General features: G+C 49.0%; 1 protein-coding gene across 5 annotated transcripts in view, besides 1 other annotated feature; it reads right to left on the bottom strand.

The window, feature by feature from the left end:
• CUX2 (cut like homeobox 2) overlaps positions 1 to 27329 on the bottom strand; it is a 316390-nt gene that overhangs the window by 252314 nt on the left and 36747 nt on the right. For 2 of the 5 annotated variants that reach the window (XM_017019080.2, XM_011538070.3), the window contains exon 1: positions 23327 to 23527. The exons of the other annotated variants lie outside the window; for them this stretch is intronic. The gene's annotated coding sequence lies outside the window, so the exon portion shown is untranslated. Of the gene's footprint in view, positions 1 to 23326; positions 23528 to 27329 lie in introns of those variants that run through there. 5 annotated transcript variants of the gene reach the window in all.
• Positions 25501 to 26016: an enhancer, noted in NCBI's record as "NANOG hESC enhancer chr12:111510029-111510544 (GRCh37/hg19 assembly coordinates)". NCBI's record gives its function as "activates a minimal SCP1, AML or CMV promoter by ChIP-STARR-seq in naive H9 embryonic stem cells {active_cell/tissue: H9 hESC(naive)}" and the evidence as "EXISTENCE:reporter gene assay evidence [ECO:0000049][PMID:30033119]".

Genomic DNA, 27329 nt, shown 5'->3' with positions numbered 1-27329 from the left:
TTTAGTAGAGACAGGGTTTTGCCATGTTGTCCAGCCTAGTCTTGAACTCCTGACCTCAAGTGATCCACTTGCCTCGGCCTCCCAAGTGGTGGTATTACAGGCGTAAAGCCACAGCGCCCAGCTCCCGACTCTGTTCTTACCCCTACGACCCTCCTCTCCATGGTGGCCTGAGACTTCTTTGCAAAAGGTAAGTGGATCCTGTCACTACTGTCCCAAGCTTACGCCCTTCAATGGCTTCCTGTAGCTCTTAGAACTAAACTCCCCAAATCCTTACTCTGAGCCTCGGGGAAAAGTCCAAACTCCATGTGGTGGCCTTGGGGCCTTGTCTGATCTGACACCCACCAACCACTCCAAGCTCACCTCTAACCCAGCAAAACGACTCACACGCCCTGGAGCCTGGGTTCTCTGTGCCAATGCCCACGCCATTCCTGGTGCCCAATGCTGTGCCCCAGGTACAAAACAGCCACCCCGATCCCCTGCCTGCTCGCTGCAGTCTCTTTGCGGATCCTCCCTGGCTCCTGACTCTGAGCGCCTCGCTTGCCGAGCAGGACCTGCTGCTGTGAGAAAACGCTGTCTTGTGCAGTCACGGGTGGTCTGCTCACGCCAGTGACCCCCCTGAGAGCAGAAGCCCATTTTAGTTATCTAGGAGCTCCCCAGATCTGGCCCCGGGTAGGCACATGAATATGTATTAGTTATTGCTGCTGTGATTAATATCATTTTAGGCTCCCTCTGCTGCTGGTGCCTTGCTCTAAGCTCTCGTATTTGTTGCTAATAAATAAAGCCAAAAAGAAAGACCCTGGCTCCTCTGCTTCCTCCCCAACTTCCCATCCTGCTCTCTGGAGATGGAGGGCTTGGGGACAAGCAGGTGAGCAGTGTGTCATTTCCCAAAACACTTCCCAAAATTGAACAGGAAGCAGTGGGAGATGGGGTTTGTCACCCCAAGACAGGCATCTGAGTACCTGAGCCCAGAACAACATGGGTTTTCACTCCAAGGCCACACCTGGTGGTCTCAGGTGACACACACACATTTGAGGGTCTCATGTCACCTTCCTGGGTGTATCTGGACCAGAGCTCCCATCAGAGGCATGAGAAGGGAACAGGAAGGATGCCCAGTGCAGAACTTTCGGGGGTGCTGGGCTCTGTCCGATGTGTTGGCAAGGCTCTGCTTTTAGGATTTAATCCTTTTTATCTTGACAACAGGGACTCACCTTCTGAAGCCAAGATCTTAGCTGCCTCCCAACTTCTTCTTTTTCTTTTTTTTTTCTTGATGGAGCCCTGCTTTGTTGCCCAGGCTGGAGTGCAGTGGTGTGATCTTGGCTCACTGCAACCTCCACCTCCTGGGTTCAAGCAATTCTCTGCCTCAGCCTCCCAAGTAGCCGGGATTACAGGTGCCCACCACCATGCCTGGCTAATTTTTGTATTTTTAGTAGAGATGGAGTTTCATCATGCTGGCCAGGTTGGTCTCTAACTCCTGACCTCAAGTGATCCACCTGCCTCGGCCTCCCAAAGTGTTGGGATTACAGCCTACTAACTTCTTCAAGCCAGATCTCCTGAACAATTCCAGCTCAACTCACAAACCCACCCCGTGGCTGAGCTGGCCTTGCTTTCTGGAGGGAAAGAGGAGGCTGGAGGTGCCACTGAGCTGGGAAGCGGGGATGTGAAGCATCAGAGAAGAGGGACAGGACCACGGGATGGCTATGGGGCCTCGGGCAAGTGACTTTGCCTCTGTGAGCCTCAGTTTCCTCTTCTGGAAAATGGGTGTAAGTGATAAAAGCTCCTAAGATTCCATACGGGGAGCACCCAGCAAAGGGCCCCGCCTCCCACTCTGCTCTGTGGTGGCCATGGGGATGATAATTTGGGTAAACCCAACTGGCTTCTGGGAGAGCAAGAAAGGATGTGAGGGGTAGGGGATAGAACAGCCCGGGGCAGACAAAGAACCTCAGCCCAGGCAGGTAGGGAACTTGAGACCTCCAAGGTCTGATTTCCCCTCACCCCCACCGGAGGGCTCCATTTTGTACTCTCTAGGCTGTTGGCAAGAATGCGGACCAGACTCTGGTGATAACTGCTCTGAGCACCAGGCAGCTCTTGGTTCTCCCTGCTGATGGGGGGCTCGGTGGCACACTTAATCCTGGAACCATCACTCATCCACGAGCCACTTGTTGAGCCCCTGGCACTCTCTCTTGTCCCAGCATCACTGCTGACCCTGTCAGCCTCTGAGCCCTTGCTCGAGGAGGCTCGGACTTGCACAAGGGGACTCAGCTCCAGGGCCAGCTCACTGCTCCTGCACGGAGCAGATGCATGAGAGCAACCACCATGTGCAGGGACTCACTCCAGGCCCAGCATTTCCGGACCCTACATGGCACCCAGCATGCTCCTTCATTCTGGCTTTGAGACATTGAAAGGGTTGACAATGTCTGAAGCAGACAAAATGGAGGCTGTGAGTTTCGCTTATTTCATGGAGAGAAAAAGTAGTGATGGTAGTAACGGTAATATTGATCAATACAATTTTAATAAGAACAGCTATAACTCACACACTGAGTCCTTCACCTGCACCCTCTCATCTACCTCTCACTGCAGCCCTCAAGGAGGGGAGCACTGCTATGCTTACTTTACAAATGAGGAAACTGAGACTTAAAATGGTGAAGTCATTTCCCTCCTTACCTCATTAGACCAGGAAATAAAGACTCAGAGAAGGCAGACCACTTGCCTAAGAACACACAGTGGGTAACAGACAGGAATTTGATACCAAGAGTATCTAACCTTCATCCATTTTTTTTTCTTTGAGATAGGGTCTCACTCTCTTGCCCACACTGGAGTGCAGTGGTACAATCACAGCTCACTGCAGCCTCAACCTCCTGGGCTCAGGCAATCCTCCCACCTCAGCCTCCAGAATAGCTGGGACTACAGACGTGCGCCACCTCACCTGGCTAATTTTTGTATTTTTTGTAGAGATGGGGTTTTACCATGTTGCCCAGGCTGGCCTTGAACCCCTGAGCTCAAATTATCTACCTGCCTCTGTCTCCCAAAGTTCTAGGATTACAGGCATGAGCCACTGCGCCTGGCCACCCTCATGCTCTTAACCACAGCTGTTCCCACCCCAGGAAAACACATGGCTAGTCATTCAATAAACAGCATAAGAGATGCTATGGGGTATCTGGTGCTGGGCAGACTGAGGTGAAGTCCCTGGGTGCTTGCGGCTGACCCTCTAAATAGGAGGAGACAGACACTGAAGGCTGCATTACTCCCAAGGTGATGACAGCCAGGTAGGGGGCCAGGGGACAATTCTGTAACTAAGCCAGTCTACCTTCGTCCAGAGATCAAGAGAGCCTCCCTGGTTAAATAAGACAGCCTCCAGGCTGCACAAAACTTCCGGCACAATGAGCAAGACAGACATGCATTGAACAGTATCACATAAATCACTTCTATTGCTTAAAAGGTGGATGCACCAGCTGCAGTGGCTCATGCCTGTCATCTCAGCAGTTTGGGAGGCTGAGATGGAAAGATCACTTGAACCCAGAAGTAGGAGACCAGCCTGGGCAAACAGTGAGACCTCCATCTCCCCCCAGCCCAGAAAAATTAGCCAGACATGGTGGCACACGCCTGTAGTCCCAGATACTGGGGAGGTTGAGGTGGGAGGATGCCTTGAGCCTAAGGGGTTGAGTCTGCAGTGAGCTGGGACTGCACCACTGCTCTTAGCCTGGGCAACCGAGCAAGACCCTGTCTCAAAGAAAAAAGGTGGATGCTGCCAAAAGCTAGGTGCTGTTGCAACCGGGGCACAGGGGGAAGACACAGGTCTCTGACCCCAGTCCCCAAGCTCAGTTAACAGCAGAAGTTACTTACCTGGCAGGAAAACCAGGCTTCCAGCATGACCCTTGCCTCCCTCTGCCCGCTCCCGGTCCCCGTCCACTTCTCGGGCCCTTCCGCCACAATGAGGTGGCCAGGGCTGCTCACACCGGGCCCAGCCGCAGCCTGTTCCCCTCCTTCATGCGGCTCTTGGAGTGATCGATTCTGCCACGGGAATGGCCAGGATAATTTTTGCTTAGCTTCAAATACCTCGTTTTCAGGAATTCCTCTGCCAGAAGGTTATAAAGCTTCCTCTAAAATGTGGGGGAAAGATTAAGCCTGCTTATGGTTAATAATACACTGTCCCCTGTCCGTCAAATTGCCTGTCTGCTATTGAAAGTTCACTATTAGATACTTATTTAAACAGCCTCGCAAGGCTTCTGAAGAAAGTGCAGTTATGCATTTTTCCCCTCCTTGCTGGCGCGAACGACTATAGATAAACATCAATTGGCTCCTGCGGATCACAGTCACAGTAAATAAATTTTTCAGGAAGCTTGAGATCCGCACAAAGGCTCCGCCAAGCTCCCATTTCACACAACATCAATGTTTGGCCTCCAAGAAATAAAAGCTCTAAGGTGTCCATCGCCAGGGCAAAATTATCAATTGTCAAGTCACTTTTAAAAGAAAAAGAAGATAGAGGGTTTCAGGGAGCCATTTCATCCTGCAGCTTAAAATAAAAGGAAGAGCGACAGGCGCTTCACCCACAAACTAACCACTGGGACTTCCCCCTAAAAGCTCAGGTGTTCATCGCCCCCCCGTCAAATTTCTGGCCCCAGCCCTGCTGCCCTGGGTGAGCTGAAGCAGTCAGTTCAGCTTGGAGCTGCCGGTTCCAGCTGAGTTCAGTGACTTCAGTGACTCAGGCGTTGGGTTATTTTTACTTTCTCAAAGTGGGTTTTTTTTTTTCACTACTTTTAGAAGTGGCAGACGAGGCTTGTCTATTATAAAATATTTGTTGCAAACACGCACTTACTTGCTCACCGCCCCACACACAGTTCTCGTCTGTGTAAAAATCTCAAGTCGCCGTGGTGTGAGGGGCAGGAGATGCAAAAGCTAGGACACCCTCCTGGGCGAGCCAGAGTTTATGTAACAGCACAGTTCTACTGGAGTCGGGGTCATCTAAGCTGGGAACCTGAAACAGGTGTCATTTTCCAGATAGGGAAACTGAGGTACAGGGGAGCCAGAGGAAGTGAGACATAGAGGTGGATGTACCTGCATTTGCATCTCAGCTCCACTACGTTCCAACTGCATGGCCTTGGGCAGGAAACTTAAATCTGTTGGGCCTGGCCTGGTGCAGTGGCTCATGCTTGCAGTCCCAGCACTTTGGGAGGCCAAGGCAGGTGGATCTCTTGAGCCCAGGAATTCGAGACCAGCCTGGGCAATATGGCAAAAACTTGTCTCTACAAAAAATACAAAAATTAGCTGAGCTTGTTGGCATGTACCTGTGGTTCCAGCTACTCGGGAGGATGAGGTGGGGAGGATCATTTGAGCCTGGGAGGCAGAGGCTGTAGTAAGCCATGATCGGGCCACTGCACTCCAGCCTGGGCAACATAGTGAGAACTTTTCTTAAAAAAAAAAAAAAAAAAAAAAAAAAATCTGCCAGAGCTTTGGTTTCCTTATCAGGAAAATAAATATGGATTACTACAGCTGTCCCTTCCTCAGAGGGTCACTGCAAAGATTAGCCTCTGCCATTCCTATTTGCCAGCTTTATTATTAAAGGTCTTAGACCCTCCTAGCCAATCGCTGGCAGGACCAGGGCTGGATGTGAGAAAGGAACACTGTTCTTGGAGGCAGCAGATCCAGCCCTGATTCCAGGCCTGTCACTTTTGCTTACGGCTCCTCTCCCAGTCCCAGATTCTTTGTCCAAATGAGACCTTGGACTAGTCAGTGTCTAGCATTAAAACCCACAGTGATGTCTTCCCAACAGCCGCATTGGGAAGGTACTATTATTATGCCCAATTTACAGAGATGAAAATTGAGGGTCTGGGAAAGGCAAGCTGTGAGGAAAGGCCAATAGCCTAGACCTCAGCTCAGCCTGCTCAGAAGACTCTGCTCCTCCTGCCTGACCACACAGCCCCCTGTTTGCAGCCAAGACTTCAAGTCTCAGTGTTTCATTCAGAGACACATCTGGGACTAACAGCTGGAGCCCTTCTTCCTGCCTGCGGATGGGGGAGACATTCGCACACCCTCTCTCTTCTTCACCACAAAACTCCTAACAAAGGTCAGGGTGAAAAGGACACCCTTGCTCTCAACGTTTTCTAAAGATGCTGGTATTGGGTTGAATTGTGGTACCCTAAAATTCACATCATCTTGAACCTCAGAATGTGACCTTATTTGGAAATAAGATAAGGTCAGAAAGAAACTTAAATCTGTTAGAGCTTGGCTGGGTGCAGTGGCTCATGCCTGCAGTCCCAGCACTTTGGGAGGCCAAGGCGGGTGGATTTAATCAGTTATGTTAAGATGAGAGCATATCGGATTAGGGTGGGCCCTAAATCTAGCGACCCTTGTCCTTATAAGAAGAGACAGGTGCAAAGATAAGACAGTCATGTGGTGATGGAGGCAAGATCCTAGTGATGCGGCCACAAGCCAGGGAATACCAGGCAGGGCCGGCAGCCACCAGAAGCTGGGGGAGGTGAGGAAGGACCCTCCCCTGGAGTCTGGAGAGGGAGCACAGCCCTGCAGACACCTTGATCTTGGACTTCTGGCCTCCAGAACCACGAGAGGACAAACTTCTACTATTTTAAGTCCCCTTTAGTTGGTGGTAATTTGTTACAAGTGTCCTCAGAAAGGAACACAGCGTTCTTCTATAAAAAGTGCACAGAACCCCAGGTGACAATTATCTGGGCTTTGGGAAGGTTCCAGGCTGGGTGGGGTGAAAAACTGAAGTGGGCCCCATCAGTTGGGCAACTGGGATGAGGTGGCCCAATCCTGCACCCCTCGATGGCCTGATCTCTGTTCTTAGGGGTCTGTACAGGGAGGAGTGAACGCTGCCCGGTTGCACTTGACCTCCGCCAGCAGCAACCCCAGCTGTGTCTCCTCCGGGCCTTTGTGAAAAGGGCACGGCTGAGTCGGGAAATACACCCTGGCAGCTTTGGGGCTGCGGATCTGACTTCCCTCCGCAAACAGGAACAATGAGGCCAACCTCCTGGGGCCAAGTCCAAGACTGTCTTTTATCCAGTCCATGGTGCCCGCTCACCTGGCCCTGGCTGGAGTGGGAACACTGACTCCTTCAGCCACCTTTTGGGTGAGTCCAGTGAGTGACCCCTTACATGGATGTGCACACGGATGTGCAAACTGAGGCTGAGAGTGACTGAATTCCTGGCTCAAGGTCCCATGTAGTGAGGACACGGCGCAGCCGGGCACAGACTCACTCTGTCAGATTTCACTCCCCCGTGGCCTTAACCCAGAAGATCAAGGAGAAGCACACAGGGAGCCTCGGCACACAGTAGGTGCTCCATCAATGCTGGCTTGTGCTTGCTTAGAACCTGCTGTTTGGTGATGGCATTGTTTCTCAGTGCCTCTCCTGAGATGAGAAGGAGACCTCAAACTGGTTTTTACAATTAAAAAAAAAACAGAGAGAGTGAGAAGTAGCATCTCTGTTCAGCTGATGGGTTGGTGGCACATTTGAAAAACCACCGGACAAAATGATGGAGCTTGTATCTCTAACATGAGGGGCCTCTTGGTGAGGTTTGGGATTTTTTGCAGTTCACTGCAAGGTGTGGGCTCAGGGAGGATATCATTTGACCCTCACCCAGAAAAAGGATGCCGAGAGATGGGGAGGTGGAAATCACCTCTGTTTTACAGAGACCAAAGAATAGTGTAGTAAAGGGATCGCAGGCCGGGCGCAGTGGCTCACACCTGTAATCTCAACATTTTGGGAGGCTGAGGCAGGTGGATCACTTGAGGCCAGGAGGTTGAGATCAGCCTGGCCAACATGGTGAAACCCCATCTCTACTAAAAATACAAAAAATTAGCCAGGTGTGGTGGCGCCTGCCTGTAATCCCAGCTACTCAGGAGGCTGAGGCAGGAGAATCGCTTGAACCCAGGAGGCGGAGGTTGCAGTGAACCGAGATCATGCCACTGCACTCCAGAGCGAGAGACTCCATTTCAAAACAAAAAAGAGGTAAAGGGATTGCCCCTTTCGGGCCAGCCCAGAACCCAAGACAGAAACCTCGCTCACCTGAGATGCTCCCTCATCTGGCCCCACGGAGAGCTCTGTCAATTCAGCACTGACAAATGTCCCTAGCTGGTCACTCCTATCCAAGCCCATTCCCACAACTCTGCTCCAGGACCGGGGATCAGATCACTCATCAAGATGCTGCAGCTGCCTCCTCCCTGGCCTCCCTGCCTCCACTTGGAGCTCACCTCTGCTCCCCTCCACTGCACATGATGGCCAGAGGCACCTTCCTCACATTAAGCCCACCTGCATCACTCCTCTGCCCCAAAACCTCCATGGCTCCCATCACCCTCAAAATGTAGTCCAAACTCCTTATCTGCCCATGAGCCCCCTGAAAGGCCACCAGCCTGCTTTGTGATGTTTTAACTGAAGAGGAGACCTAGGGCCACAGTGACTAGGTTCTGCTTTTTGCCTGCTTAATGCTCAAGCATGAATGCTCTGGTTACAGTTCCCCAAAAGCACCTGCACTCTCTGACCTCTGAGCCTTTGTACTTGCTGTTCCCTCTCTCTGGAATGCCTTTCCCTCTACTTCCTCCCATTAACCTAGGAATGCCCAGCCATCTTTCAGCTCTCAGCTTCGATGCTGCCTCCTGCAGAGGGCTTTCCAGGCCCTCTGGATGGCCGCTGTTGCAACACATACTGCCCTGCTCAGAAAACCAACAGCCTAGCAGAACTTGGGTCCAGGAGAGCACTGTAGGGCCTGGAGGGGTAACATCAGGGTGGATAATTCAGGTGGAGGCTTTGCTCCTCTCAGCTCAGAGCCCTGGGCCTCAGAGCAGACAGACCAGGGTTCCAAATTACAGGCTTCAGATGCTGCTAGCATTTTTTGTCCCCTACAGTGTGTTATCAAACATATTTTCTATTTAATCCCCATTACTCCCCCCATTTCTCAGATGGGGAAACTGAGGCTTGAAGAGAAATCAGTTGCTTAAGGCCACAGTTTGGTGATCTACAGAGCCAAGACTCAATCCCAGCGCTGCTGGACTTGGCCTCCAGGGCCTGTGCCCTTGATCACTGTCACAGGGCAGAAGATGCTCTGAGAACAGGAACTGCACAGGACAAAGCAAACTGACCGTGATCATTACCACAGGATGCTGGAGCTAGGGAGAACTGCATCTCCACTTGGAATATCCTGCAGGTCCCTTCGCCCCGTGCCTCAGTCTCCTCACCTGTAAAATGTCATAATACCACCCAACACTGCACACCACCGCCCCTGGATAAGGCAAACCTAGTGGAGTGGGGAGGGGGTCGTAACTCCTGAGGGGTCAGCAGCTCACTCAGGAGCAGGCAGGTGGGAAACCCAAGATGACTCTCCACCGCCTCTCCCCACTGCAGAGCTGTCAGCCTCGTCAGACGGGGGTACCATGGCACCCAGCTGCCCGGTCGGACATCTCATGTCCATGCACGACAGGTGAGCTTCATAGCTCAGCTCATTGTCCAAACCTGAGGCGCTCAGAGTTGCACGTCTAGAGGAAAGAACTAAGGGCTCAGGGCCTGACACTCCCAGGTCTGCGTCCTGTCTCTACCATTTGCCAGCTGTCTGTCTTCAGACAAGTCCCTTAAGCTCTCTGAGCCTTTTCCTTCTCTGAAAAATGGTGACATCATCTCCATCTACTCCACAGGGCTCCTATGAAGACTAGAGTTAAAGCGTCACATCGTAGGGATTCAGTCCGCTGCTATGAAGACTCCAGTTAATGCGTCACATCGTAGGGATTCAGCCCGCTGCATTTTGAATAATTAATGCAGTGGTTTCAGTCCTTTACTTTTTTTTTTAATTGAACTTTTTATTTTGAGATAATTGCTGATTCACATGCAGAAAGAATACAGAGAGGCTGGGCGTGGTAGCTCCCATGCCTGCAATCCTAGTGCTTCGGGAGGCTGAGAAGGGAGGATTTCTTGAGGTCAGAAGTTTGGAAAAGAACACAGGGAGATCTCTTGCCCCCTTCACCCAATTTCCCCCAAGGGTCACATTTTACAACACTGACAGCAGGACCAGGATACTGACATTGACACAGTCAAGGTACAGAGCATTTCATCACCCCCAGGCCTTCGTGCTGCCCTTTGATAAGCACACATATTTTCCTCCCTGACCCCATTCCCACTCCATTCCCTGTTCCCCAACCTTGTCTTTTCGGGAATGCTAAGTAAGTGGAATCCTTCAGTAAGTAATCCCTTTTGAAATAGTCTTTTTTCCCTCAGCACGATTCCTTCAAGCTGTATCCACATCATTAGCTTATCAATAGTTCGTTCCTTTTCATTACTGAGTAGTGCTCCTCGGTGTGGGGGTGCCACAGTTGAACCACTGGCCTGGTGAAGGACATCTGGGGTGTTCCCACTTTTTGGCTACTCATGAATAAAGCTTCTGAGAACATTTGTGTGCAGGTTTTGGGGTAAACTTCAGTTTTCAGTTCCCTAGGATATAGTCCTTCATTTTTAAACCCATACAGGCATATAATTTCATTCATTCAACAGATATCCATCACACATCTACTATGTGCAGGGGCTGTTCTAGGCACTGAGGAGACAGCACACAAAGGCAGACAAAGCCTCTGTCCTCTTGGATGATACAAAACAAAATGACTGAACAAACAACTTATGGCTAAGTCGACTCTACAGCCACACACAGAAATGAAAAGCATTCTCTGATTAATGATCAAATTAGTAGCTGCTCCAGTGAGCCAGGTTAAGTGCAAAGCACTTGCGTGTGTTTTCTCAAGGAATAGTATTACCTGCTAGTAAAACATGCATTGCATCAAGATGAAGCCACCAGCTGGCAGGCTAGAAAACTCTGGTGACTTCTTCTTCATAGCATTTTCTTTCTTTTCTTTCTTTTTTTTTTTTTTTTTTTTTTTTTTTTGAGATGGAGTCCCACTCTGTGCCCAGACTGGAGTGCACTGGCACGATCTTGGCTCACTGCAACCTCCGCCTCCCAGGTTCAAGCAATTCTCCTGCCTCAGCCTTCCGAGTAGCTGGGATTACAGGTGCCCGCCACCACGCCCAGCTAATTTTTGTGTGTGTGTGTTTATTTTTGGTAGAGACAGGGTTTCACCATGTTGGCCAGGCTGGTCATGAACTCCTGACCTCAATCCGCCTGCCTCGGCCTCCCAGAGTGCTGGGCTTGCAGGTGTGAGCCACTGTGCCCGGCCCACAGCATTTTCTTTAGTAAGTCCCTTGTTACGGTAGAATAACTTACTATGTCCATTCCTATTTCATAGGCTATAAAAAGTATGTCACTTGACAGCTCGAATAGCAATGGGTAACATTTCTTGAGTGCCATGTTTGGCACCATTCTCAGATTTTTACACATATCATCACTTTTTTTAGTGATGGGGTCTCGCTATGTTGCACAGGGTAGCCTCAAACTCCTAGGCTCGAGTGATCCTCTTGCCTCAGCCTCCCAAGTAGCTGGGACTACAGGAATGCACCACTGCACCCAGCTGTGCCTCATCACTTTTAATCCTCATAAACCAAAAACCATTCCCTGAGATAACTGCTCCATCAGCCCCATTTTAAAGAAGAGGAAACTGAGGTTCCAAGATGCTAAACAAGTGGCCAAAGGGCATATGGCTGGGAAGGGCAGAGCCAGGATTTAAACCCTCGGAGACAGAGTCAATTTGATGTCCTAAAAGAGGAGCCTTCTTCCTCTCCCTGTCTGCACCCAGCTCTGTGATGTTAAGTGTCTTTCTCTCCCAGGCACTGCACACTTCACTAAAGGCCCTGGATAGCAATTGTTTCTAAGATAAATTGGACAGTTCCTCATTAACTATGAAAGGCCTAAATGCTGATCACCTCAATCATTATGTTCTAAGCTCTCATCATTAGAAAAAGAAATAATCAGGTCAGCCAAACCTGATTCTTTTGATGAAAATGTTTCCTTCTTTGATGCACCCCAGGCTACACAGTTCCAGTTGCCTGTGAACTAAGTACTTTCTCCATCAGTGACACAATCTTCATCTTAAGTTCTGAACTCACATCCATTGCTCTGTGATACTACCATGATATAATAGAAATATTTAACCACTGAAGTGGCCAATGTCTTTAGCAGGAGCAGAGAGAATGCTCTTTCTCACTGACAGGTTGGTAGCTGGTGGGGGTAATTACTATGACCATCATCAGAGTGGCCTCAATCTGCCACTGTGTTGCTTCAAAGTTAACTAGAAGGGACCTAGGAATTATGCTCCTGGATCAGGCCTGGCACAAGGTAGGAGCCTCTAGCTTCTCCATCAGCTACATCTGCTCCTGATCCCTGATCTCACACCATTCAGGGCATTTCCCAAACCAATAATAAGTGCAGAAAAGTCTCTCCACCAGCATTCACTGATGTGACAATAATGCTTCAAGCATCTGCCCTGTGTAAGCCCTTGCTGGAAGGTGGGGAGATGGCAGGGGACGAGATCTTTCTGAACTTACAGTCCAATGAGGGAGACAGATTCCAAACTCAAAGAAACAACCCAATACCCAATTACAACTGGAAACAAATGCTGGGAAGGGAACCAAGTAGTGCTGATATAAGAATAAAGGCGAAAGATGTGCTGTGGCAAAAATGGTCCCGGAACACTTCTCTAGGGGAGACAGGAACCAAAGGAATCAGCCAGGGGAAGAGCATTCTGGGCAGAGGTACAGCATGCACAAAGTTCTGGAGGCACAAGTAAACTGATTAGAGGATTTCAGAGACCAAAAGTATTTACAGAATTCCTTTGGCCTTATCTCCTTCCATTCTCCCCTTCATTCACTCATCCCATCCCCACTGGCTTCCAGGATGTTCCTCAACCCTTCTGAACACATTCCCACATCAGGGAATGCCTGGAACACCCTTCCCAACCCTCCCCCAGATCTCCGCATGACCTGCTCAGATGCATGCTGGTAAATGGTTAACAATGGGCTCTCTAAGGAGTAAGCCCTGATTTGTGGCATCTGCCAATTTCCATGGGGTAAATTCTTCCACCTTGGCTGATGTTAAGCTGCCCATGGAATGTCACTGAATGAAAGGCTGGGAAGAGACACACACAGTCAGCTCTCAGGAGCTGGTATGAGCCAACTCCAGCACACCACAGCACCTCCATCCCCATCCTCTATCCTACTTTCCTTTCCTTCACCATTTTTATCATCATGATGTTCATTTATTTTTTTTTCTTTGCCACCTGTCTCCCCAGACTAGAAGGTCAGCTCCACGGAGGCAGGGAGTGTTGCCTGCTCTGTCACAGTGTGTGGAACAATGCCTGGCACATAGTAGATGCTCAATGAATACCAAGAGAATAAAAGAATGATGAGAAGGTCCATGTGGCTTCACTGTGGTGAGAAGAGGAAGAATGGGAGAAGAGGGGGTGAGGTCCCTCCAATCCCCTGCACCCCGCAGCAGCCTCTCCAGAAGGTGGGCACCCCGGAGCCCGAGTGAGAGCAGGTACAGCGGGCTGTCTACCAGCCCGCCCGCCACGTGGCCCCTCATTATACAGCGCCGTCGCTGCCGCAAAGCTTTCACAGCCACTCTCATACCATTTTGCTTTTAAAATAGAAGTTTCCTGTGAACCTGCAAATAATTCATCGCTGTGAGTCCTTAAAACGTTCACAGGTATTTAAAATGCTATATAATCAAGTTCGCAGAAATATAAAGTGTAAGCGTTAAAATACTTTAATGTTCTAATTAAAACAGGCCACTTATGCCCCAGCCCTGACTCCTGTTTACTATTTCCGTAATAGCCAGTGGCTTGTTCTAGGGAAAAAAAAAAAAAAGATTCTGTTTAAATTGGCCTTGAAAAAACAAAGAAGAAAAAAAGAGGAAAAAGTTAAAGTTTGCTTTCTCCAGCGGTGCACTGAGGAACTGAAAATCACACTTTCTAAATATTCACAGGTTGTCAACTGCTAAAGCAGGGGACAGGGGACATCTGGGGTCCCTCCACCTGCTCCCCTAGAAACAGATGGTACTTGGGCAGGAATGGGAGGAAAGGGCGGGGGCTGAAATCCTTTATGTCTCAGGGCTCAGAGAATGCCCACCAGCCCAGGCACCACTAACCACTCCACTCCTGCTGATTCAGTCTTCACCGCTGTAGACCAGGAGGAAAATCATATTTATTTGTAAGGAGTAAGACAAGTCAGGGCTCTATCTGCCTCTGGTCTCTGACAAGCACAGCGTGATGCCTCTGCATATGCTGTTCCCTCACACTTCCCCATGTACACTTCTACTCATCCTTCCGTCCTCAGCTCCAGCATTCACCTCCTCAGGGAAGCCCTCCCTGACTACTCCCACCCTGGTACTCGAGGAGATGGCCCTGCTCTCTACTCTCACTGCCCTTTGTGCCAAGGGCTGGCTTGTTGTTCTTCCCCCATCAAAGTAACCTTGAACAAGCACGTTCTCTGGGCCAAAGGCGGGCTGCCCTGTGGATGGCAGCCCCTGACTGGTTGCCTGGCCTTTTCTCCCAATCTCCCTGCCAGCCCCAAGGTTCACGACTACAAACTCCCGTGCTTCCCTCTTGGAGCTCTCAGTGCCAGCTGTCATCTTCTATTACCTGTGAGTTTGCTCGGTGGGCGTCCCCTCCACTGGGCTGTATTCTCCATGGAATCCGAGACACAGCAGGTTCTCACTAAACTGCACAGGAAGCAGCCTCTTAACTCCCTCCTAAACCTCAGTCCTCTTTTGCCTAAGTGACTTATATCTGGCTCATTCATTCACTCAGCAACACCCACCCCATTACCACAGACCCACTTTATGTTAAGCCCTGGATGGCACCCCAAGATGCATTGACTCTGGGGTCCTCAAGCTCCACTCACCCCAAAGGACTCCTCTTCCCTTCCCATCTGTCCTTGGTCCCATAGACCCATCAGGCCCTAGACCTTGGACCCCGGCCCCAGGCTCCAACATCTGTCTCCTTCGTGGTCTCCTTGGCCTGCTGATCCCTGGCCTTTTAATCCTTTCTCTGGAAGGCCTCTCACACCCATGCCCTCTTTCCCCTGCCCTGCCCCAGTTCTGGGTGACCTCAATGGTCACCTGCTTGGTGGCTGCTCTCTGGCTGGTCACCCTGCTCATCTCTCTCCTAAGGTGGTACCGTGGTTCTTGGCTGAGGTCGCTCGTGACCCCCAATGGACAGTCAGCAGTATCTGGAGACATTTTTGGTTGGTACAACTTAGCAGGGGAGGCAACTGCCACTTAGAAGGGAGTGGCCAGTAAGGCTGCTAAGCACCCTAAAAGGCACAGGGCAGCCCCTACCATGAAACGGCCACAAATGTCAACAGTGTGGAGTCGAGAAACTGTGATAGAAGACTCTTTCCAGCACAGCTCAGAACACCTCCTCCTCCTGCTCAAATGTCCTCCATGGCTCCCCATGGCCCACCAAGCTACCCAGCAACCCCTCTTCACGACACCCATGGTCCTGCAATCTCCCAGCCTAACTTCCACATTGCCCACCCTTCCCAGACAAGCCAAACCAGTCTGCTCAGGGCCCCCAGGGTGTGGCCATGCCTTCCCCTCTGAGCTTTTGCTCATGCTCTGCTCTGGGGCACCTGCCTCCTCCACCTCCCGGCGAGTCTTCCACGTTTCAGGGAAGTTTCATGGGAAGCTTCTGTTTGGGAGGGGAAGTTTCTGTCTGGTTTCAAAGCTGTGTCCTCTCTCCCAGCTCCCTGGCTGGTCTAACCACTCTCTTTCCTCTGTCCCTACACCCTGGGCTTTAACATCCCAGGGGCGACCTGCCACTCCAGTCCGACCTGGGTCCCTGCTGTTTTTTGATTTTCTCAGACATTTTCGGACACTTGCCCAGCACGGTCCTTGGCACACCGTAGGCATTCAAGAGGTGTGAAATTAATTCAAATCCCTCTTCCCACTAAAGTGGCAAATTCAGAAAACTCCTGGAATCAAACCAATTCAGGCCACCAGCCTTTTATTTGGACTGACTCTAATTCCTTTACAAATATCATATTCCTTCCAATATATTGTGATTTTCCACTTTCTCCCTTCTCTCTCTCTCCCGCTCATCTCTGCTGGATGAAGAAGCCTGAATTGCTCTGTCCACAACATGAGCAGATACAACACAGAGATGCCTCAAAACACCTGCTGTCCCCACACAGACATCCCCAACCTTCCCAGGGACATTCCTGTCCTTTTGTAGAAGGTTGATTTAAAACGGCAAAATGATACATTCTCTATGCTGAAAACCTAAAATCCTCCTTAAGAAAGCCAAACACGAAAATTGCCTATAATCTCCACCACCCCAAGGAAGAGCAAAACAGGCATCTGTGTCATTCCTCTCAGGGTGAGGGAGCCGGGGCATTTATATGCCAACTCCTGAGGCTGGAGGGCTGCACCTGGGGGGTTACGGCCTCAATACTTCTGGCCTGCCCTCTCTCAGGCAAAGTGGTCTTACAGTTTTGGAAAAAAAACAGAGATGCAGTCACCAGCAGGCGGAAGCTCGTGGAAGACACTAAAAAGTCCAAGGGGAACAGAACAGCACCTGCTTATCTTCTGCCCTATCTCAGGCTACACAGTGGACAGTGGCTGGTCACCACCACAGCACCAATTCCCGCTGCATCCAGAAATCACTCCTTATTCTCTTTGGGGTCCCCTCCTCACCTCATCCTAACTTCTCCCAATTGTCACCAACATCTGTCATGCTTTATGGCCAGTCAGAATCAGAATCTCCTTCCTATAGGTGGAGAAGCCCCTCCTTACATGAGTCTTGGTGGGGGCTGAGTCGGTTTCTGTTGTTTGCAATTAAGAGTCCTGGGTGAGGTTCTTCCCTGACTCTAGGGGTGAGACTAGATCTCATTCCCCTGGTCAGAGGAGGCTCTGCTTTCTTAATTTACAGAAACTACACCACATGTGCTGCTTGGCAGTGGCTTTCATCCATAGAGCAATGTGCTAGGGATGTTTCCCTAGGACAATAAATATCCACTGGTCTTCCCCTCCCAAACAGAAACTTCCCATACTTAAAAAGACAATAAAAACAAAATAAAATGAACTTTATCTAGAAGAATTTGAGACACCGCTCGAGAAAGCTGGACTCCCAGAGGGGTGTTTGTAAACCTCAGCTGGACACTCTGGGTGGACAACAGTAGGGGGCAAACAAAAAGATCAATCCTCCCACCACTGCAGCAGTCAATCGGAAACGGTGACAGCATGGTGAGGGCTGAGGCCTGGGTCCTGGACACAAACTCCACTCTCCAGAAACACTCCCACTACTGGCCCTTATTATTCATTGTACCGACAGCTATAAGAGCTCCTATGTATTGAATAATTTTAGGAGCCGACAGTTACAGCACTGACTTCACAATAACTCTATCATAGCTATTATCAGCAGCGTCTCCACTTTATAGATGAGGAAACTGAGGCTCAAGAAAGCTTAATAGCAGTAATATCAGTAATAATAACAATAACTTATATTTGTTGAGTGCTTATTATATACCAGGAAGTGCCTATATTATATTGACTTATTTCACTCATTCCTTCAACAGATACTTACTGAGCACCTACTCTGTGCCAAGTGCCATTTTAGGTGCTAGGAAGACAGTAGTAAGCAAAACACACAAAAATCCTTGCCCTTCTAGAGCTGACATTTTATTTTTTGAGTGCCAGGGTCTCACTCTGTCACCCAGGTTGGAGTGCAGTGGTACGATCACTGCAGCCCCAGACTCCTGCACTCAAGTGATCCTCCTGCCTCAGTCTCTTGAGTAGCTAGGACTATGAGTGCATAGCACCATGCCTGGCTATTTTTTTTTTTTTTAGAGAGACAGAGAGATGGGGTCTTGCTGCATTGCCCAGGCTGGTCTCAAACTCCTTGCCTCAAGCAATCCTCCCATCTCGGCTTCCCAAAGTGCTGAGATTACAGGCGTGAGCCACCACTCCTGGCCCTAGAGCTGACATTTTAATGGGAGAAATCAGCAAACAAGGTAAATGGGTGAAATATAAATGTTCAATCATGTTAAGTGCTAAGGAAGAAAGAAAATACAGCAGGGGAGGGAAGTGAGGGCTGCGTGTGTAGGTGTGTGTGTGTGTTACGGGATTTTAGTCAGGGTGGCTGGAGAAGCCTGTGAAGGTAACTTCTGAAAGACCACCAGACAGAGCAAAGGAGCAGGGCAGGCTGCCGTGGGCAGAGGGAACAGCCAGTGCAAAGGCCCTGAGGTGAGAAAGTGCTCAGTCCGTTCAAGAAACAAGAAGGCCAGATATTATCATCATCCCCGTTTTACAGATGAGAAATTGAGGCCCAGAGAACAGAAGTGACTTGATCAAGGTCACACAGCAAGCAAGTGGGCATGACAGGACTAGAACCCAGGACTTCTGACATTAGACCAGAGGGTATTTTTCCACTGCCATCTCTTGGTGAGCAATTCCTGTGTGCTGCGCCTGGATTAAGATGATTGTGGGCACCTGCTTGTCACCAGGGAGAGCTGTGAAGTGAGGCGTCCTCCCACCCAGTCCCAAACCCACACTTGGAACATCCCATGTGGACACCCACACAAACTGACCTGGACACACATGCACACAGGTGTACGCACAGGCTGTTCTGCCCTGGACAAAGCAGGTGGGAGAACAGTGCCGCTGAGGGATGTGCAAAGATTAAGCTAATAAATAAAGCTGCCCAATCAATGATTCTTAGAGCAGAGCATGGGGGAATGAGAAATCACTACTCGTGCCAGGAAAAATCTTGCTCTTCTAGGTCTCACTAAGTCTACAAACTTAACCAACAGCAACGAGGAAGACAAGCCGAAAACACAGCAGGGAAGGGAAGCCAGGGAGGGGTCAGGGCCTGGGAAGGGGCTTGAGCGACCAGGTAGGGCTGTGTGACTGCAGGCAAGCGACTGCCCCTGCCTGAGCCTCATCTGTAAAATGGGGCAGCAAAACCAGTCCTCGTTCAGAAGGCCACCACAGGTCCATGCTGCTGTGTGTCGCAGATGATGTGGACAATTTTGACTAGATAATACTCACCTATAGCATAAACTCAGAGGCTACCAGAGGAGAAAGTAAATCCCCCACCCACCCCAAGAATCCCTTTCCAGGGGCAACCACTTTTGGTAGTTTCTTCTTTCCAGAAGGAAAGTCTTAGACCAAAAATTATTCTAACCTGCTTGTACGTGTGAATGACAATTTGTCTGAGGCCACCAGTTTGTAAAAGGCAGTGAGATGGGAAGCTCCCACATCTATCTGATCTTAGAGCCCAAGTTTGCAAGCTCTGGGCCACCAGGTCCCAGCTCTTCCCAGTCCATAGACAGCTAATGTTCTGCTGCAAGTAGTTCCTCAGCCCCCATGGGACCAGGCCAGGATAGGCTTGGGGCTATAGGCCTCATTAGGCTAGGCTGGGACCCCAGGTGTTCCCACGCACGACTCCTTTTCCTCAGCCACCTGGCCCCTGACCAGAATGATCGAACCCATCCGCTTCCCCCAGTTAAGCCACCATCATCACTCACCAGATGGCTACAGTAGACCCCTCAGGGGTCTCCCAGCCCACCTGCCTCTGAGTGACCTTTTCCATCACCAAACTCAAACAAGCCACCCCCCTGTTCAAAACCTGTCCGTGGATCCCCATTGCACTGTATAGAAAACCCAAACTCCTTCGCTGACTTTTTATTTTTAGAGACAGGATCTTTCTCGGTCGCCCAGGCTGGAGTGTAGTGGCACGATCATAGCTCGCTGCAGCCTCAAATTCCCAGGCTCAAGTGATCCTCCCGCCTCAGCCTCCTGAGTAGCTGGGACCACAAGTGCATGCCACCACATCCAACTAATTTATTAAATTTTTGTGTAGAGATGGGGGTCTCACTATGTTGGACAGGCTGGTCTTGAACTCCTGACTTCAAGTGAGCCTCCTGCCTCAGCCTCCCAAAGTTCTGGGATTATAGGCATAAGCTGCTGCACCTGGCCCCCAACACCTGAAATGAGATGCTCTTGTTCCTTTCTCTGGTAACTTCCTCTCTGCTTCCTCCCAATGCTCAGCATGCCTTAGTGATTGAACACTTTGTCCTTTCTTTCCTGCCTGGCTCCTCCCACCAGAATGGAAACTCTACAAGGGCAGAAGCCTTGTCTCTCTCAATGTCGGCTCATCCCCGATGCCTAGTCTGGTGCCGGGCACAGTGTGGGCTCAACTGGTTGTTGAATGAATAAACACAATGACCAGAAGCAACACCCCACTGCTCCACAATTAGCCACCTACAAATTCAATGTACTCATTTGCTGATTTCTATATCATTGTTTTGAAAATCTCCAAGGACAGGGACAGAAACCCCAGGTACCCCCAGAGCTGAGATGCCTTTGCCACCCCTGGGTACCACCTGGACTCCCTTTGTTTCCTCTCTTCTTTCTTGCTGTTACATTAAGCAAAAATTTCTTCATTGACAAATAAATGCTTTTCCCATCAATAACCACAGAAGACTAAATCAAACCTTTAGCTGCTGTTCTTATCTCTTAAACAGACCCATGGATTTCCCAACTAATCAGAAGATGAATCAAATGCTGCCATTTGAGGTGGGAGATAATCTGGTCAATTTCTTCCAGGAGGAGGGATCTGGGTGGGAATTTGCGTATGGCCCCCAAAAAACAAACACTCTTGTAAATAAAGCTGGCCTCCATCCTGTCTCCACAATGCAACGCTTATTGAGTGAGTCAGGTGTTTGGCTGATTAAAAATTGATCCATTTCAAAATCTAATCAACAGAATAGGATTCTTTCATACGTTATCAAGAGAGCTGCTGACATCGAAAACCAAACCTGTTATTAACCCATGAACTCCAGTGACCTGCTCCTCGCCGCTCCGAGGGACCGTAAATTATTCAGTGGTCCAAGACCGGGGCTGGTGAGCCTGATGGATTTAGGCCATCAGTCCAGGGGGGCAGAAGTCCAGGGGGTTCAGGTCGATGGCATGGCCGCGCCAGTCCCCAGAGGCTAGGGTTCAAGACACTCGGGGTCTGGGAGTCATGTCTGTGAATACATTACCCACGTCTTCCCGGGCCCTGCCACACGGCTGCGCGTTTCAAGGAAAGGCCTCTTTCAACTCCCCAAGCAGGGCAGGCAGAGGCCAGCTTGGGCCTCGGGGGCGCTGCGGGGTTTGGGAGCACTATTTGGAATTCCCAAGTTAATAAATTATTTCCCTTGAACTACAGCAAAGGAAAAAATAAATAGTCAAGGGGGGCAGAGATGTATTCTGCAAACAGTTAGGAACAGGCAATACAATCAGTTCAAATATTTTACCTCCTCGTGCAAGGAATAGCTCTGTTGCAATGGGACTGTTTAAAAGAGGAGATGAAAAGAGCCATCCTTTGGCCGTTTATGTGTCCAGCAGGGCCCCGAGGGGCGACGGGTTTTCTCACCAACTTCTCGACTCTTTGACCTTGAATTAAAGCCTCGTTAAGAGTCATATCTTATAAAAACAGGAGCAGAGTAAATAAAGGATTTTTTTTTAAGGACACACATATACCCATGCCAAAGTTTCCATTCTGCTAAGCAAGCAAGAAATCCAATGCAGCAAAGGCTGCACTTGGCATTATTTTGGGGCCCGTAGTCAACGGCTGACCTGATTAGAAAGGAGGACTTGGGAGGGGAAAATATAAGACTCTCGAGCAGGGCTGGAAACAGACTGGAACCTGGGAGGAGGCTAGCCCGTCTGCTGAGTGATGGAGAGAAGGGTGAGTTGTATCTATGCTCTGAGCTACTGAGAGACCCCAGAAGAGCACAGAAGCTCCCACTGGCTCCTTGGAGCAGCTGCTGGGAGGACCAGCAAGGAGGCTCTGTGAGCTGTGTAGCCAACAGAATTCAAATCCCGGCTCTGCCACTTCCTGGCTGTGTGAGCTTTGGCAAGTGAGTCTCCCAGCCTCAGTTTCCTCATCCATCAAATGGGAACAAGAATGCAGCTATGGATTTGAAGTTCTCTAGGTCATCTCTACATGGTAGGAGGCACATGGGAATTATTCAACTGCTCAAAAATGGCATCTGTTGTTTCCATTGTTAATATTGCTATTATATGCCAGGTGTTTTGTTTTGCTCCTTAGATCAGTTCTGGATAAAGTCAGTGGTGGTGGATTAGCATCCTCCTCAACTGCACATCCCAGCCTGAGGACCTGATCTTTATAAAAATGATGATGCTGACTTGCCTCTCCAGTGCACAAGGCTTTAGTGGGAACTTCAGAAAGTATCCACATGATGTGTGGTTAAGCTTGAAAGCCAAAGTCCTGAGTTCAAATTCTAGCTTTGCCACTGACTAGCTGTGTGACTTCAAGAATGTGAATTCACCTCTCTGAACCTTAGTTTTCTCACCTTTATAATGGGAAGACAATAGTACCAACCTCATAGGGTTCACTTAGCACAGTTCCCGGCCACCTGCTAAGCCCTTACTGAAGGCTGGTTATTATCATCATCATTATTATTCAGACTCAGTTTCCCACTTGGTCTGATGGAGACTATTTTGCTCATTTCCTAGGCAGAGTGGAACCTGGCAGGGGCCTCTTGCTGAGTGACCCTGGGCAAATCACTCGGACACCCTGGGCCTTGGATTCCTCCCCAGTAAGGACAAATAATGAGACTTATAAGCTCCATCTGGCTTGGTCATGACCTGATTCCCTCAGCCTAGAATAATGCCAGGCCTACAATAAGCGCCCAAATAAGTAAAAAGACAGCATGACACACAAATATATTTGTCAACTGAGCTCTCCCCAAAAAACAACAGCAGCAAATGGACATGGAAGGTGAGCAGCTCCCTCTCCGCATCCGAACGCTGCCCCCAAACCCTGATCATCCCCTCTACCCATTGCCGGGGAAGGCACCCAGCTTATCCCATCGCAAACAGCCTAGACGCTTTGACTCCACCCCAGAGAACATCCAGGAGACCAGAGAGAGGCCAACTCCCTGTCCAACAAACTCTTACGGACCACCAGGAATCCTCCCTTAAATAATAAATTTATAAGTCTGAAGCCCCTCTGACCTCTCCTCAAAGCAAAATCATCCTCCAAAGGCCCCTCGACCTGATCCTATTGATCCTGTCTGAGCTGTAATTTTGCGGTGGCTCTGCGCAGACAGGGTCGGCCCGCCTAGTTGGCTGCGGTCTGACGGCTCCAGGGGTGCCTGGCAGCAGCTGGGATGGAACAGAAATCAGATCTGCCCTCCAGAGCCAGGGAGAGCGGCTGCTCCTGTGAGCAGGGCTCAGGGTGCGGCTGGGTGGTGGGGGGTGGGGGTGGTGGCTGTCTCCTCCATCCTCTGCAGCCCTCAGGTGTGACTCGGCCAGGCCTGGTCCAGAGAAGGCCTGTGGGGGACTGGATGAATGAACCCAGAATCCCTAAGGCTCTGAACAGGCAGGGGCAGAGCAAGGGAGACAGTTCTGGGGGACCAGGTCTGGGCAAACCTTACCTGGCTAGATGGTGGGGTCTCGAGAGGCTCAGGCCTGGGCCCGAGGGGCACGGTGTCCCCAACAGTGGTGGCCAGACCTGGCCGGTACCACGAGCTAAGACAGGTTCCTAGGTCCAGCCAGGTCCTCCCAGCTGCTGGGCCCTGCCGCCGTCTGCTGTTTACCCGCTGCCTGTTTTCCTCATGACAGGCCTTCCAAGAACTGCAGCCAGAAATCAATGCAGTTGGTTCTGGTGCCCACAACCCCCCACTTCCCTCCTGCTGCCAAAGTTCAGCTGCTGCTTCCTGTGAAGTCAGGGCAGGCTCTGGGCTGAGCTGAGGGGCAGCTCAAGGTAGGGGCACCCCCTCAGCCCCCTGTCCAAGCTGAAGGCCACAGGCAGAGGGGTCCCAGGCAAGGTTGGGCAAAGACAAGCCTCTATCTTCACTCACAGCAGAGAGCTGACCCAGCTGATCAGGCAGGGAACAGCTAGAATGTTTCCCTGCCCCATCTTCCACTTTAGCGAAATAGGCGGGTGGCCCTCACAATTTACTCTACTCAGGTGTTTACCCTACGTCTTTGGCTCTGAATCACCTGGGGACTTAGTTACAGATTCAGTCTCAACCAAATTTGCAATCTGTTTCGAGAGACCTGGGGTGGGGCGAGATGCTGGGCTTTAACAAGCCCCCAGGTGATTCAAATGAGAAGCCTCGACTGGGAAACATGGTTTGTATGCAAAGATTCAGCTTCCAGGATGTTATTCACTGCAGTGTTCAGAAGACAGAAGAAATGGAATTAAGCCGATTGCTGGATAAAATACAGGACACCCAGACACATTTCATTTCAGATAAACAATGACACATTTCATTTCAGATAAACAATGTATGATTTTTTTTTTTAGTATAAGTATATCCCAAACATTGCATGGGATATACTTATACTGAAAATCATTCACTGTTTATCTAAAATTCAATTGTTTTTCTCTGAGATGAGGTATCCCTCTGTCCCCCAGGCTGGAGTGCAGTGGTGTGATCATCGCTCACTGCAGCCTTGAACTCCTCAAGACATTCTCCTGCCTCAGCCTCCGGAGTAGCTAGAACTACAGGCGCTTGCCACCATACCCAGCTAATTTTTAAATTTTCTCATAGAGACAGGGTCTCCCTGTGTTGCCCAGGCTGGTTTCAAATTCCTGGCTCCAAGTGATCCTCCTGCTTTGGCGTCCCAAAGCATTGGGATTATAGGCATAAGCCACCATGACCAGCCCCCGGAGACATTTTTCATTGTTACAATTTGGGAGATGCTATCGCACTGAGTAGATAGAGGCCAGAGATGCTGCTAAGCATCCTACAACGCACAGAGCAGCACCCACAACAAAGAATTCTCTGGCCCCAAACATCAATGGTGTCAAGACTGAGAAACCCTTATTTATACCCAAGAAAACTGTGTGCCCCTGTGCACTAAAAGACAGTAATGAACAAATGTTCCTAACAGCACTGTTTGTAGGAGCCCCCAACTGAAGCCACTCAAATGTACCTTAACAGGGGAATGGATGAAAAATTGTGGTGTAGTCACAAAAGAGAATGCTACACAGCAATGACAACAAACTGTAATGCCGCACAACACAGGTGAATCTTGAGAACATAATGTTGGTAAAAGAAACCAGACACAGAAGAGCACAGGCTGGTTGATTCCAAACAAGACTAATCTGTGCTGTAAGAAGTGGGCACAGGGTTCACCCTGGGGGGTGGGTGGTTGGTAGTGACTGGAAGGGATACGAAGGAGCCTCTAAGAGGGCCAGGGATTTTCTAGTTCTTAATTTGAGTGGAAATTCCATGAGTATGTTCAGTTTGTGACAGTTGAGCTGAACCTATAGGATCTGTGCCTTTTTCTGTCTGTGACATGTCAACAAAAGATCTAAAGAAACCGTGACAAAAATTTATCTCTTAAGTGGACCATTTTTATTTTCTTCTTTTTGCTTATCTGTTCTTTCTATAATGGCCACATTGAATATATTTTACTTTTCAAAAGAATGAGTAGGATAACAGCAAATGTGTTTCTTCATTCATCAAAAATTTGCTCACTTCTGCAATGTGTGTGCCCCCCAGCAGAGGACACTGAAGTTGGGGTTGGGGGAGGGGTCCCTGCCCTCAAAGGGCTCCCTGCCTTGATGGGGCTGGGAAGAGGACATAAATAGAACCAGAGACTGTAAACAAGCAGGCCCAAGGGCCACAGTCAGCCAGTAATCAGGTATTTTATCCATCCAGCCCAGTATTTTAATCAATTTTATTTCCCTGGGGCAGGGCCAGGTCTCCCCAGTTGCCTAGCACCCCATACCCCCAACAAACTTCCTCCTACTTTACTCAGAGCCTGATCCACCATTCATGTTACTTGCCTGTCCCTAAGCTCATGGGAGTTTGCCATTCCTTGAGGTAGATATTGCAATCAGCACTGTATTGTGATGGAGAGATGGACAAAGGGTTACAAACACAGAGGGAACTGCATGGGGGCAGGGAGGCCCACAGGGTGTGGGAACCTGCTCTTGACAGGAACACAAACACATGTAGACTAAATACTATATATAAATAAAGCAAGGCTAAATGTAACAAACTATGTGCAAGATCTATATGAGTAAAACTACAAAACTCTGACGAATAAAATCACAGAATAACTAAATAGATGGGGAGATAGTCCATGTTCATGGATAGGAAGACTCAATATTGTCAAGTTGTCAGTTCTTCCCAACTTGATCTATAGACTCAGTGCAATCCCAGTTAAAATCCCAGCCAGCTATTTTTGTGGGTAGTGACAAACTGATTCTACAGTTTATATGGAGAGGCAAAAGACCCAGAATAGCCAACATAATATGAAAGAGAAGGACAAAGTCAAGGACTGACACTACTGAACTTCAAGACTTACTATAAAGCTACAGTAATGAAGACAGTGTGGTATTGGAGAAAGAATAGACAAATAGATCGATAGAACAGGACAGAGAGCCCAGAAATAGACCCACATAAATATAGTTAACTGATCTTTGACAAGGGAGCAAAGGCAATAAAATGGAGAAGAGATATTTGTCTTTTCAACAAATGGTGCTGGAACAACTGGACAGCCACATGCCAAAAATAAAAAATAAAAATCAATAGAGACACAGACCTTACACTCTTCACAAAAATTAACTCAAAATGGATCATGGACCTAAATGTAAAATGCAAAACTATAAAACTCCCAGAAGATAACATAGGAAAATCTGGATGACCTTGGGTTTGGTGTTGACTTTTTAGATACAACACCAAAAGCAAATAAATTCTTGATAAGCCAGACTTCATTAAAATTAAAAACTTCTGCTCCTGGAAAGGGAGTATTAACAGAATGAGAAAACAAGCCACAGACTGGGAGAAAATATTTGCCAAAGACACATCTGATACAGGACTTTTATACAAAGAACTCCTAAAACTTGACAATAAGAAAATAGCCTGTTTAAAAAATTGACCAAGGAACTTAACAGATCCTCACCAAAGAAGATATACAGTATATGCAAATAAGCATATGAAAAGATGCTCCAAGTCGTATATCATCAGGAAAATGCAAATTAAAACAATAGTGAGATACCTCTACACACCTATCAGAATGGCCAAAATCCAGAACATTGATAACACTAAATGCTGGCAAAGATGTGGAGCAACAGGAACACGCATTCATTGCTGGTGGGAAGGCAAAATGGTGTAGCCACTTTGAAAGACAATTTGGCAGTTTCTTAAAAAACTAAGCATACTCTTACCATATGATCCAGCAATCTTGTTCCTTCATATTTACCCAAAGGAGGTGAAAACTTATGTCCACAAAAAAAAAAAAAAAAACCTAGAGAAAGATGTTTACAGCAGCCTTACTCATAACTGCCAAAATTTGGAACCAACTAAAATGTCCTTCAGTAGGTGAATGGATAAATAAACGGTGGTACCTGCAGACAATGGAATATTATTTGGCACTAAAAAAAGATGAGCTAAAAAGCCAGGAAAACACATGGAAGAA

Source organism: Homo sapiens, chromosome 12 (genome assembly GCF_000001405.40).
Source record: "Homo sapiens chromosome 12, GRCh38.p14 Primary Assembly".
Lineage (NCBI taxonomy): Eukaryota > Metazoa > Chordata > Mammalia > Primates > Hominidae > Homo > Homo sapiens.
The sequence above is the reverse complement of the archived record's forward strand: the minus strand, read 5'-3'. Positions and strand labels throughout refer to the sequence as shown.